We start from the raw sequence: 14,152 nt of genomic DNA on the forward strand, positions 1-14,152 counted from the left end.
GACCTGGGTAGAGGGAAGCCTGGAGCACAGTGGGGGCCCCTGAGAGGAGGATCCCACCTAAGAGTGAAGCTGGCATAGAGCCGGACGGGGCATATATCTGCTGATGCCGTGTGAAGGTCTGAGTCCAGCTGGACCTAAGTTTTCCAGGTTCCCGAACAGTGCATTCCCTTTTATGAAGTAAGCAGGTTTAAGCTGGGTTTCTGTTACTTATGAGTCCTGACAGACACAGGCAGGGACGATGTTTTATTAAACTCTTTACAAACACCAGCTGCAGCACAGGCCTGACACATAGTGGTTGCTCAGGAAATGAACATCGAATAAATCACCACTTCTCAAGCTACCTATCAGCCAAAGTCTGGCAGATGCTTGGGATCTCATCTCTGACCCCTGTTTCCAGGTCATCCTAGACCTGAAATTGGCTCAGGGCCCTGTACAGGAACAGGATTTTTGGGGTTCTGGAAACACTGGCTGAGCAAGTGATACAGGGCTCAGACAGGGTCAGACCTCTGCAGTCTAGAATACAGCTTGTAGTATGGAGGTCTGGAAAGATGAGCAGGGAATAGTGTGGAGGGAAGAGAGGAACAGAAGGGTCTTTTACACACACAATAAAAAAGAGCTCAAACCTCCCTCTTCTCTTGCCATCTCCTGGGACACTTTCCTGGCTGCAAATATCTCTCAGAGTACTGTGAGAAACACCCCAAATGAAACTGGGTATGGGGCAACTTTTCTGTGAATCAAATTTAAAAGTTTATTCTAAATGACTAAAATTCTAATATTCTAAAGTTGAAAGCTTATTTTTTAAAAAAATTTCCAAAAGGTTACCTTGGATTTGGGTACCTCAGAGTCAGGGTGCCATGACATCAGCTCCCTAGACTGGGTTCCTCCTGATTTTATCCACAGAAACATAATAGTTTCTCACAACTAACTAGCAATGTCAGAGAAAAATCCCCAGACAACTTACTTTCAGCATTTCCCTTGCTGGTCATGCTGCTGACCTGACCTCTAGACCTTCCACGTCTCCCCATCACCCAAGGGGAAAAGCTCTGGAATGTCTGCAAGGCATTCAAGGTCTTCCCCCTTTTGCTCCATTTTCCCCTTCCAACCTCTTGCACCATGCACAGGCTGGGACACCCTCTTGGCTGGTCCCACTGGGTCTATGTCCCTTGCGCTTCCCAGGATCCCCCGTGCTCATTCCTCCTGGAACACTCTGCTCCCAGCACTCTCTCTTGGCTCTGATCTGCGAAACCAAGTCTTCCTCTGGTTCTCCTCTGAGCTCCTTCTCTACCCAGGGGGTGTGACATGCCCATTAGCCCTTTCATTATAAACCATCTTGTTATTTCCGCTTTCAGTTCTACGAGGATGCACGTCACACTTCGCCTTTCATAATGTCCCTCCTCTATGCCTAGCACAGCAGTAAGCCTGTAGCTCAACTCCAACAATGATTTGTCAAAAAACTGATCATTTCACCTGGGAAATACTTACTAATAGTAGATATCAAATCTTGAAACCTTTCCTTAGGAAAGAGTGGGTTTTCCAGTCCTCGGAAATACAGTTTTAAAACACCAGCGACTGAATTGATATCTCGTTCATTTTGATCGTCCACAAGGGGGTCTTCACCTGAGTGGAAACAAGAGACGAGATGATATTTCAGCTTGGGAAGGAGTCAGAGAACGTGCAGATGGCCGAAGAGATGACCTGGTCCAGCCTGAACCACAGGAAAGGCAGATGGGAAAAGTCTCCCCCACATATGAGGCCCCCCACTTCAGCAAGTTTAAAGTTCTCCCTGCAACTTATTTGAAAATGTTTAAATCTATAGAAAAGTTGTAAAAATAAAATAATGAACGCCCATCACCCTTCGCTTACAACTCATCTTGCCACATTTGATTTCTCGCTCTTTCTGTATTTATATTTATTGTTGCTCCACTATTTGAGATTATTTTGTAGACATCAAAACACACCACCGCTAACTACTTCAACACACTTCTCCTAAGAATAAGGATATTCTTGTATGTAACCACAACATTATTACACCTAAGAAAATTAACCATTCAAAAAGAACATCTCATATACAGCCCACATTCAGACATCCCCAGTTGTCCCATGGTGTCTTTTATAGACTTTTTTTCAAAAGCCAAGATCTAATCAACATTCACACAATTCATTTGGTGGTTATTTTTCTTGAGTCCTTTAAATGTAAAATATGCCCCGATATTTTTGTTTGCTAGTTTGTTTTTTACAATCTCGGCTCTTTCTGAAGAGCCCTGGCCAGTTGTCTTGTAGAATGCCTCACACTCTGGATTTGTCTGTTTTCTCATGATTAGACTCCAATTAAATATTTTTGGCAAGAACACTACATGGGTGATGTTATGGACACCTTAATGCATCCCATTAGAAGGCACGTACGTCAGGCTGTCCTGCTGCTGGTGATGCCAACCTTGATCACTGGGTCAAGGTGTTGGCCTCCAGATCTCTACATTATAAAGGTATTTTCCCCCTACTTTGTAATAAGTATGATCTGTGAAATGATACTCGAAGTGTCAAGATGATACTCTGAGACGACCGTGTGCATGTAGTGCCCAACATGTTTCACCCAATGGTTTTAGCATCCAGTGATGATTTTTGCCCAAATTAATTGTTCCACTGGGGTTGCAAAACGGTGACTTTCTAATTATGTCATTTCTTCTCTGTGTATCAGCAGGCATTCTTTTGTAAAGAAGAGCTGTCTTCCTGTCCCCCACTCTCACCCTTTATTAACATTTATACGAACTTGTTTTTGTAATTTTTAACTGAATTGTGATTACCCATTACCATCACTATTTTTTAGAATACTTAAATTGTCCCAAATTTGGCCAGGGAGCATACTTTCTTGTGTCCTTTTAATGTGACCTCCATTGAGCACTTCCTTGTTTTCTGGACCAAAAAAAATCCCCAATTACTTTTTACTTTCCTTGATCCAGATCTTGAATCAAACATTTCTCCAGCGGGCTCTGTTTGCTTTTTGTAGGAAACAAATATGGTGTCTCATATCGAGACACCAAGATCTAGGTATTAGGTGTGCTCATTGCTACAGAAGAGTCATAAAGACCTTCCAGATCCTTTCAGTGGATAGAACTAGAATTTTTTTTCATGAGTTCATACTGATGTTTCTTATTCATACAATAAGGTTTTCATTACCTTCACTTATTTTGTATTTGTACATTTTTTTCTTACCATAAAAATATTGGTTCTGAATAATATTAGTAATAATTACATTCATCTGCTTTATCCTATAATACACAATCAATGGTGTAACAGTTTTAATAGCAATATTACCACTAACAATAAACCTGCTACACACAACTTGAGATTTCTTTCCAGGGCTTTTGTTTATGTTATTGTTTAGTATTTTTATCTTCAAAATGTATCCCACTCAAGAGATATATGGTCAGAAGACAGAAAGTAGATCAGTGGTTGCCTAGGGCTGGTGGCCAGGGTATGGAGGATATTGGGAGGGACTTGCAAATGGGTACAAGATTCCTTTTGGGGAGGATGAAAAAGTTCTGAAGTAACGTTATGATGATGATTGCCTAACTCTGTAAATATAATAGAAACCATTGAAATGCATTTTTTCTTTTACTGATATATAACATTTTAAATATTTATGGTGTACATGTAACTGTTAGATGCATAGAATGTATAATGATCAAGTCAGGGTATTTGAGGTATCCATCACCTTGAATATCTGTCATTTCTATGTGTTGGTATCATTTCAAGTCCTCTCTTCTAGTTACTTTGAAATATACGAAATAGTGTTGCTAAGTATCGTCACCCTATTCTACTACCAAACCCTAGAACTTATTTCTTCTATCTAATTCTATGTCTGTACCCACTAACCAACCTCTTTTCATTCTCCACTCCCACTCACCCTTCCTTCTGGCACCTATCACTCTATCCTCTGTGTCCATGAGATAAAGTGTTCTAGTTCCCACACAGGAGTGAGAACATTCAGAAATCTTCTTTCTGAGGCTGGCTTATTTCACTTAACATAATGTCCTCCAGTTCCATACATGTTGCTGCAAATGACATGATTTCATTCTTCTTTATGGCTGGATAGTATTCTACTATATATTATACACTACATTTTCTTTTTCCATTCATGCATTGGTGGCCACGTAGGTTGCTTCCGTATCTTTGCTATTGTGAATAGTGCTGCAGTAAACGTGGGAGTGCAGGTATCCTTTTGATACATTAATTTATTCTCCTCTAGATAAATACCCAGTAGTGGGATTGCTGAATGGTATGGTAGTTCTATTTTTAGTTTTTTGAGAAATCTCCATGCTGTTTTCCATAGTGGCTGTATTAATTTACATTCCCACCCACAGTATATAAGAGTTCCCTTTTCCCTGCATCCTCGTCAGCATCTGTTATTGTCTGCCTTTTTAATAATAGCCATTCTAACTGGGGTGACATGATATTTGTGGTTTTGATTTGCATGAAATGTATACTTCAAAAAATGGGTGAACCTTATGGTGTGCAACTCAATAAAGCTGCTAAAAATGTATGATCGGAGTACATGTTCAAAAGTTACTCTCTGTAGTTATCAATTTGGTAAGTGGCACACTTGGTTTTCTTCGTATTTTAGGTAGTAATTTTTTTTAGAAATACTTTTTTTAAATTTACAGTTTTGAATGCACAAAGCATTTATAGGGTCCAAAAGTCAAAAGTTGCACTCAGAAAAGCCCTACTCTTATCCTTCTCTCCTCCACACCTTTTAACCATTTTCATTCGTTTCTGGTTTGTCTTGCTGTGTGAGCAAATACATAGGCCTATTTTTAATATCTTCTTATTTCTTACACAGAATGTAGTATACTTCTAAATAAACTTCTTTCTTCACTTAACAAGAAATCCTGGAAATCCCTCCACATTAGTTCACAGAGATCTTCCTCTATTTATTATTTTTTTAAAGGCTGCAAAGTACTCTACTTCATGGACAGACCGTAATTTATACAATCAATCTCTTAGGGGTCAACATTTGACTTCTTTCCACTATTTTGTTATTATAAATATTGCCACAGTGAATAGTCTTGTGTTTTTGTATGCACAGAGGCAGATTTCTGTGATCAGTTCCCAGAAGAGGGATGGCTGGGTCATAGGGTAGACATATATGCAGTTTTTTCAGACATAGTCGAATTCTTCACTGGGGCTATGCCATTTTATATTCCTACCAGCAACACCATCTCAAGAATGTTGTTTTCCACAGCCCTGCCCCTGGCATATCATCAGTGTTTTGAATTTTTGCCAGTTGGACAAGGGAAAATGTTATCTCAGGGGAGTAGCACTTTTCAATTTAATCAGAGCTGCTGGGCAGGTTCACCACTGTGAATTTCCATGGGGGAGGTGAAAGGCAGCAGCGAGCCTTCTGCTGTTTTGATGTTCAGAGACATCCACACAATGGGCTGCTCCTCCTCCTGAACAGCGAAGAGCACCTCTAGAGCTGGCAAGCAATGAAAAGCAGAACTGGAAACTCATCCTTGGATCTTTTTACTCTGCTTCTGTGGAAAGTGAATACATGTCACTGCCAGAGCCTCCCTAGCCCCAACATGCTTCAGTATGAATTAGAGAACGGTCCCCCTGCCTTCCTGCACCAAGGCTTGCAGTGTACAGAGCATGAGCCAGAGTTCAGTTCCCATCTGTTCTCTTGGCTGGGCAGCCTTGTGCAGTGCCCAGAGTGAACAATCATGCATGGTGGCCCAGACACAGGTATCAAATAGGTCAATCTCTCAAATGTTCCCACTGGAGGACGTGAGAATGCTGCCTCCATAAGACTTCTTTGTAGGGAAGGAAGAGAGAAAATAAACACACCAAAAAAATCACCTGTATTCACACAGCACTTCTCAAGTGAGAAGCACATTTGTACATACGAACTCTCCTAACCCTTACAACAGCATTGCATGTCACTAAGGGAGACATGGTTCCAATACCACCATTCTCTCCTGTGAGAGAGCTGAGGCCCTGGCAGATGAAGCAGTGTGCCCATAATCACAAAGTCAACAACAGATACTGGCAGCTCCAAGGTCTCATAATCCCTGAGAGATACACTTTCTTCTACCTGTGATTTTTTGATCTGTCTGTCTGCATCTATGCCTGCTTATGTAGGTAGGTATATATTTACCTACTTTCCTTCCTTCCTTCCTTTCATCCTTTACAGTAGAATCTCAACCTTTTTTTTTTCTCAGTAAAAAATTCCTGTGAAATCCCAACTTATAGAACAAGGCTGTCTTAGTTGAACTGGGGTGGGGGATGTCCAAGCCTTACCTCCTCAGCCTCCCTCTCTATCCCTGTAGCAGCCTAAGGAATTCAAAAACTGTACCATATTAAGCTGTTTCCCTATTAGCTCCACACATCATTCCTGTGGTCTCATAATTCAAAAACACATGGATATTTTCCTCCATGTTGCCTAGTACTAGTTCCCGTTGTTAAGCATGATTCGCATATTGACTTTACATACGCACACATACACATACACACGCCATTAGTTCTTGCCATTCCTCCTGCAAGGCTCTCAGTCCATAAATTGAACTGCCCAAACATTCTTTTCAATTAGCCCAGGCCTTTGGCTCTCTGCAAGCTAGTCAGTTTTGGCTCTGAGAATGGAATCCCAGAGCTGGAGACGAGCTGGATGGTTCCTGTGAATGACGGCTTTCTCCAGGAGGAGAATTAGAGCTAAAATTCCAGGCAAATCTGAAGGAAAGACATGTTCACACTTAGCTAGCTAATGTCCTGGGGAGGTGGCATTGTTACTGAATTGCCCTGCCTGGAGCTTACTTTTACCCAGATCACCTGGGCGTTGCCAAAGGCTTTAAGACAGGGCTGTGCCCAGGGCAGAGACTGAGCACACAGTGTGTGCTTAAAGGCTCTGTCAGACCTGCTGCTGGAAGCTTGGAGTCAGTCTCTCTCATGAGGGCAGTTCTCTCTGGCCACAGGTCCTCGAGCCCCTCGACATGACAACCCCGCCCAGCATCTCCAGGTTCCATCCCTCTTCTTGAGGCAGGACACAGGTCTCAGAAGGGGCAGATCCAGAGTCAAGAGTGTGCTAGAGCCTACGTGGCATGGCTTTAGCCCCACATCCAAACCCTGCGTAGATATGCACAGCGGGAGAGAGCCATTGCCTCCTTGGCAAGGCACCCCCTCCACATAAGGAGAGACCTCAGCACTCCCATCTGTGCATACAAAGAGGGCACCTAGAGAGGTTTGTGGGGGACCCTCTGGGAGACAAGAGCAAACCACAGCTCAGTAGCTAATTCTTGCCTTTTCATGATGTGTTTTTTTTTCTCTCTCTCCTTCATTTTGCCAGAAGATTTATAGGGAGAGCTCAAAACTTGAGCAGTGAGTTTAAGATTTACTGACGACAACAACAAAAAGAATTCCAACTAAAACTCTGGTTGACTCATATGAGAAGGAAAAAAAAAAGTAGATTTAGGAATAATAAGCCAGGAGTGGATTTCCAACATGTTATCACTTTTCAGGAGCTCAAGGAAAAGAAAACCATGCTCCTTTCAACAGCCTTAAGCAAGGAACTCTGGGAAGACCTCTACTCAGGAGAAGGGAAAAACAGAGCCAAGGAAGAACAAGACCCAAATCCCTTTTAACAACTGGTGAAGAATGGGCACCCTGCAGGAATTAGAGGATTTAAATTTTAAAAATAAAAGGAAAAGGCTGGGGGCAGTGGCTCACGCCTGGAATCCCAGCAATTCTGGAGGTTGAGGCGGGTGCGTCGCTTTGAGCCCAGGAGTTCAATGGCGAAAGCCCATCTCTACAGAAAACACAAAAATTATCCAGGCATGATGGCACACACCTGTAATCCCAGCTACTTGGTGGATGGAAGGGTGCTGAAGTGGGAGGATCACCTGAACCGGAGGAGGCAGAGACCCTGTCTCAAAAACTAAATAAACTGGCCAGGCGCAGTGGCTCACGCCTATAATCCCAGCACTTTCGGAGGCTGAGGTGGGTGGATCACGAGGTCAGGAGATGGAGACCATCCTGGCCAACATGGTGAAACCCTGTCTCTACCAAAAATGTAAAAAATTAGCCGGGCAAGGTGGCACACGCCTGTAGTCCCAGCTACTCAGGAGGCTGAGGCAGGAGAATCACTTGAACCTGGGAGGCGGAGGTTGCAGTGAGCCGAGATTCCGCCACCGCACTCCAGCCTGGTGACAGAGCGAGACTCCATCCCAACTAACTAACTAAATAAATAAATAAAATACAGGAAGAAAGGAAAAACATGGCATACTGGTTTGGAGAGGAAATTTAGTCACGAGTTAAACCATGTGGGATGTGAAGAGTGGGCGAGAAGAGAAATATTGAGCTGGGCCCAGATTTGGGCCACCCCGTCGCCAGGGAAACACAGAGATAAGCAGGCTGACGGCCAGGAAGAGGGAAGACCTTAGTCTGGGGAGGGGTGGGAGGAAGCGGCCCTGAGTGTCAGCCAGGTTAGGAGCCAAACCCAGGGCATATGCTTGGTGAATATCAAGGAACAGAAAAGAGTAAGTGAGAAATCTGGCAGCGGCCAACCCAGAAAATCCAGGAAAGGATTTTTATAAAAGAGACATACTAGAACGATTCTTTCAGAAGAAAGCATGCTCCATTGTCAACTCAGGTGGAGCAGAAGGACCAGGCTGGCGAGAGAATGAGATTCGTTTTGGAACGATGGGAAGAGGGAGTGAGGCCAACTGCATCCGTGAGGAAAAGAAAAAGGAAAAAATATTTTTTGCAGCTGAGATTTAGTTCAGACATTCTCTGCCCAGCTGGGCTCTGCCTGAGGCAACCCAAGGCTTGTTAGGAGCAGAGAATTCTTTTAAATTGCACATCACCCCTGCAAAGCACCAAAGCAAGTGACAGGAGGTGCTGACCTTAGAAAATCACATTCAAGAAGGTAAAAAGCAGTGCTACCAGAGTAGGGAAAGGGTGGGGTTGCCCGTGGCAACAAGGTTACATACAGAATATGGAGAGGCAGGGAAATGCCAGGCAAAGTGGTTGCCAGGCTGGAGGCACCATGCAGTGAGTTTGCCCACGAGATTCAAGGCAGGGTGACAAGGCATTCTGTATAATGGGATGAGCCCAGGAGGAGGCAACCAGCAAAGGTTCCAGACTATGGTTCTGTTCATTGTAAATGAAGACAAGGCAGCAGGGATGTAAGGAGCTGGGGAAAATGAAGAAACAACATTATGGGTTGGACTGTCCAGTGCTGCCAAGAGAGGCTCAGAGCAATGACAAATGATACTTGCATCATGGACGCAGATGGGAGAGACCTCTTGCTTTCTGACCTTTGCACATGCTGTTCTCTTGGCTTGGAATGCCCTTTCTTTGCCCCTGTTTCCCCTGGCTCTTACTCTTCAAGCCTCAGCTTAGGCATTTTTTCCCAAGGAAACCTTCCCTGGCTTTGCTGTTCCTCCCCACTCCATCCAGGCTGGGCTAGGGCCTCCTATGCTCCCCAATGCCTACTCTATCATTGCACTGATTATACTGGCTGTTGACTAAACTGGCTCCCCCACTAGTAGTGACTGTGTTTTGTTCATATTGCATTTCCAGGCCCTTGTCCATTACCTTGTATGGTATAGGGCTCAGTGCATGCTTGTTTAGTGAATGAATACATGACTAAGTAGGAGCTTGGAGCAAGGAGGTCCTGGGGCTCCCTGGTTCTAAGCACCCGAGATCCTTGAGGAGGCTCCAGAAACGAAGCTCCCCTAGACCCCAGAAGGCCACTGAGCATGACATGCAGCCAAATCTCATTGTCTACAGATGGTTCCAAGCCAGAGCACCTACATCCACAGAGGGTCTGTGCCTGGGGGCCGTGGCAGTACTGCTTGGGGCTGCAGAATGCTTCCTCCACCGCAGGATGGAATGGAGATGACCGAGAGGCAGAGAATTTGCTCAAGAGGCAGCTCCTTTGGGGTGGTAGGGGAGCTAGGTAATAAGTAGGAAGAATTCTATGGGTGGAAACACACAGAGAGGTCTGCTCAGAGTACAGCCAACAGGGGTAAACCATACCTTTTGGGATGTTATGTACTGCAAGTAAAGGGGTATGGGGTTGGGGTCTTCAGCACCAGAACCACTCAGAGAAGAAGGCAGTAAATCAGAGTTGAGAAGGCATGGACTATGGAGACATGACCTTTTCAAATATTGGAAAACTGCAGGCAGAGATATTATTTGGGATACTGATATTCCAACTCTTCTTTCCTCCCCTGGGATGAGGTTATGGTCTTGTTAATGCTAGGTTTTGTTCTAGAATCAGGGAGCAGGATTGAAAATATTTCCTCGAATGAAACTGCATGGATTTTCCATTTCAGTGCAGCAGTGAGATAAGCACTGAATATTCAAAAGCAGAGGTGTAAGAAAAATTGAGTGTTTCCTGACCCAGTGAGTCCTTACTTGGCTTGGACACTGTCACTGGCCATCTGTTCCTATCAGGGATTCTGAGGCCCAGAGAGGCTACACCAAATGTATCATATGTGTCCTGGTCTAGTGGTCCACCTCATTTCTAATAAGCTTTCATATCCTTGTTTAAATCAAAATGGGAACTAGGTCACCTCTCCAGGGTTGGAGGGAGTGTATAATCTCTTCCCCGCAATGTGTGGCTTGCCAAAAACACTGCATAAAAAATTAAAAATTAGGATATCCTAAAAGCCACTCAGTATTTTCTATGTTCTTCCAATTCTAAAATGTAGCATCATTTACAGATTCATATGAATATTCCAGAGCTCTTTACAAGGTGCCCTTTCCCAGCAACCACTGTGCAGTCCCCTGGAGAAACCACCCAAAAGCAGTAATAGTAGTAATAGCAGTAGTAGTCATAGTAGTAGTAACAGTGGTGGTGGTGCTGGTGCTGGTGCTGGTGCTGGTGGTAGGTAAATGTTGAACAGTTAACTCTTTGGCAGGTAACAATTAGAACTTAGTGTTAGCCAATTTCTCTGGTGTAAACACGCCAGCCATGGCTTATTCCAAGTACCAGGACAAAGGCACTGCATGTGAAGTTGGGAAGAGATGTGCACAATCAGCTCCTGCAAACCACTGCAGGCTGGCTTCTGCACACCACTGGCTCTGAGACACACGTGAATATTCACCCTGGCTTCCCCTGGCCACAAGCCTAAGATGGTCGCTCTGCACCCACCTCTCTCAAAGGAATTTTTGATGTCATTGACTTCCACCTGAGATCCTGGCACTCTGAAGATCCCCTGCTGCTGGAGTCCTAAAAAAGAAACATACAGAAAAAGAAATAGTAAATCCACGAGACCTTGAGTTCATTAGACTACCGGGAATATCAGTGACTCTCCCCATTGCTTGTCTCTTTCTCCCCCGATCCTTTATAACAGAGTCGTTCCCTATGAATGTCTCCAGAAATGGCCTTCACGGTAAAGTACAGCTGGCCAAAATCCTTGGACACATCTGCTTCAAACACTTGTGATCTTCTGTTTGAGCTTAAAGGAAAAGGCCTCAAGAAGTTTGTATCAATACCTTTCCTTCCCTGTACACAGACATGTTCTGCCTTCAAGAAGAGCTAGACTCCAGAGTATATTCTGGCTGGGACTTGAGAGAAGTTAAATCATTAAAGTAAAACTATCCCTTTTTTTTACATGTTTCTACAAGACCTTAACAAAGAGGAGACCCTTATACATGACATGACAGTAATGACATAACAGCAGCCTGTACAACTGAAGGAATTAAAAGGTCTGTTTCATCTTAATGAGAATTAATGGGGGAGCCTGTGATCCTTTCCCTATCTCTGTTTTTCTATATAAAACAATTTTCCACATTATAATTTAGGAAGTATTTACTCTCAAAAGGCAGGCTTTGGTCAAAGTTTGGTTTGTATATAGTATATCCTCAATAAATGCTTCTTCATCTCTTTACTTAAACAATATTGAACTTCTGCCACCCAAGTCTCTGATCCCATCTTCCTGGCTCCTTACCACCCAGCCACACTGACCTTCCTCCCCATGCTAGGCCTTTCCACTCGCCATCCTCCATTCTCTCCACCTGGACTGCATAGCTGGCTGCTTCTACTCGGTATTACTTAGTTCAAACATCACCCCCTCGGAGAAATCTCTCCTCACCGCCTTAGCCAAAGCACCTCCTCTCCTTTCCAGCCATTCTCTATCCTCTTTAAATTAGTTTCATGGCATTTGCACTATCTCAAATGATATTATTTATTTTTCCACTTGATAATTTCCTTGCCCTTTTCATTGGAAGTGTAAGCTATGCAGGGCAGGCATTGCACCTGTCTTGTTCATGCCTGTATTCCCACTCTCCAAAGCAGTGCCTATTATGCACTCAATAAATATAGTTTTGGAGGAATGAACGAGTGGATAAGCACCAGTTATGTTCTGGTGACACCATGGTTAACAAATCCCAGACATCATTATTAGGTTGGTGCAAAAGTAATTGCGGTTTTTGCCATTCAAAAGTAATAGCAAAAGCCACAATTACTTTGGCATCAACCTAATACCTTCATGGAGCTTATAATCTAGCCGTATTAGCTGATTTACTGGCAAACTCCATTCAGTGCTCAAAGCACAGAGCTATAGGGTTGAGTTCTCTTGTCCATGCCCTTTCTACTCTCCAGTTTTCCTAGGTCTTGGATCCTCTCACCATGATCTCCATCCCTCAACACACAGGCTCAAAAGCAGCACTCAGAAGAGCAGCTGCTGTGTGCAGTACTTTCCCCCTCCAAAGCAGAGCTGTGACGGGAAGTCTTCCAGGACAAATTAGAATCTCATTTCCTATCAGAACAGCCTAGCACCTGTTCTGCAGATTGCTGAAAACACTGGCCCAAGATCCAGCTTACCATATAAATTGATGTAACGGATGCAGCTCTCGACTACAAGCGGTATAGCTTGTCCTGAATCCTTGAGAAAAGAAAAATTGTGAGTTTTATGGGGCTTGACAACCACCACAGGAAAAAGACATTGCAAACACCGATTACAGACTCAAGCCAGAATATTAGTACCATCAGATTAGTAGGAAAACAAGCAAGGAACTGCTAATCCTAAAGTCTCCACGGACAGTTACAATAGAGAGTCTTCAACTGTATGCACAAAAAGGCATAGCTATGATTATTTTAAAGAAATGCTCTTCTTCTTACCCAACTGGAAAGGAACCTGGGCTCAGGAGGCCTGGCAGGCCCACTTGGGCAGTGGAGAGGGAACCACCTCGGGGGGGTGCTGGAGTCTGGCCTTGAAGAGTTCTCTGCCTCCCCCTCCATTTTGTCCCAACTCAACACTATTTTCTCAGTGCTCAAGGATCAAGTCCTCATCCTATTACTGCAGTACCTGATGTCAGAATTAAGGGCACACCAGGGGGGAAGCAAGGCTGGCCCCTGGTGGAAATTTTGAGCTCTAAGAAAAGAAGACCAGTTCTACTCATGAAGTCACAAGTAAACACCCAGATGCATACTGCATTTAACAGTAAACATGTCACAGGGAAAAGCTCTAGAGGCAGCCGATGTCAGCCATTGGCCATCCAGGGGCCAACCTTACTCTAAAAGGCTGAAAAAGATGCAATTCTCAACACAGGCACCTGGGATGTGAATGTATTTTCAATGACATCTTCCTAGACTGGTCTACAGCCACAAATGATTATGGCGGAGGGGAAACATTTTCTTTTGGATTCCATTATTTGTTGACCTCTCTGTTATTCCAGGTCACTTAAAGAGCATCAAATTCTTTTAAACTTTCTTTAAAAGGGGCCAAATCAAAGGCCTAGCCTCCTCACAACGTGAGTAAACCATGAGGCACATGTAATATGCTCTTGTGAAGACAGCATGGATTTGGATATGTTCTTGGCTCCTCCACACCCCACCTGTGAATTCTTTCCTTGATTGACTGTGCCCAGGGACAGGACAAGAATATGGACCCATCAGCAACAGGCAAGGTGGGCTCTGTTCTGGAAGTCAGCACTAAAGACAGTTTCCATCACGGTGAATGGGGCTAATGGGCCTTTCTAGTAAATACCTGGTTCCTGGTTCGAGCATTTCTTCTTCCTCTGATAACAAAAAATAAACAGGCAGCAGAGCAGGAGAAAAAGAAAAGATTATGCAGGAATAAGATCAGTTAGAGTAAGCAGATCCTTCAGAGTCCGTGAACGCCGAAATGCAATGGCAGCCAGCCAAGGTCCTGGG

The 14,152-nt window shown here is 43.9% G+C and overlaps 1 protein-coding gene across 16 annotated transcripts in view; it reads right to left on the bottom strand.

The window, feature by feature from the left end:
* Positions 1-14,152, bottom strand: part of SRGAP3 (SLIT-ROBO Rho GTPase activating protein 3) — a 382,437-nt gene that overhangs the window by 33,524 nt on the left and 334,761 nt on the right. For 8 of the 16 annotated variants that reach the window (XM_024453843.2, XM_024453842.2, XM_047449336.1 and 5 more), the window contains 4 exons: positions 13,986-14,016; positions 12,821-12,881; positions 11,147-11,224; positions 1,483-1,617 (listed from right to left, as the gene is read on the bottom strand). In XM_024453843.2, the coding sequence (XP_024309611.1) occupies positions 1,483-1,617; positions 11,147-11,224; positions 12,821-12,881; positions 13,986-14,016 (305 nt within the window). Of the gene's footprint in view, positions 1-1,482; positions 1,618-11,146; positions 11,225-12,820; positions 12,882-13,985; positions 14,017-14,152 lie in introns of those variants that run through there. The other 8 variants (XM_047449335.1, XM_047449333.1, XM_047449334.1 and 5 more) reach the window with 2 other exon arrangements.

This window comes from Homo sapiens, chromosome 3 (assembly GCF_000001405.40).
Source record: "Homo sapiens chromosome 3, GRCh38.p14 Primary Assembly".
NCBI lineage: Eukaryota > Metazoa > Chordata > Mammalia > Primates > Hominidae > Homo > Homo sapiens.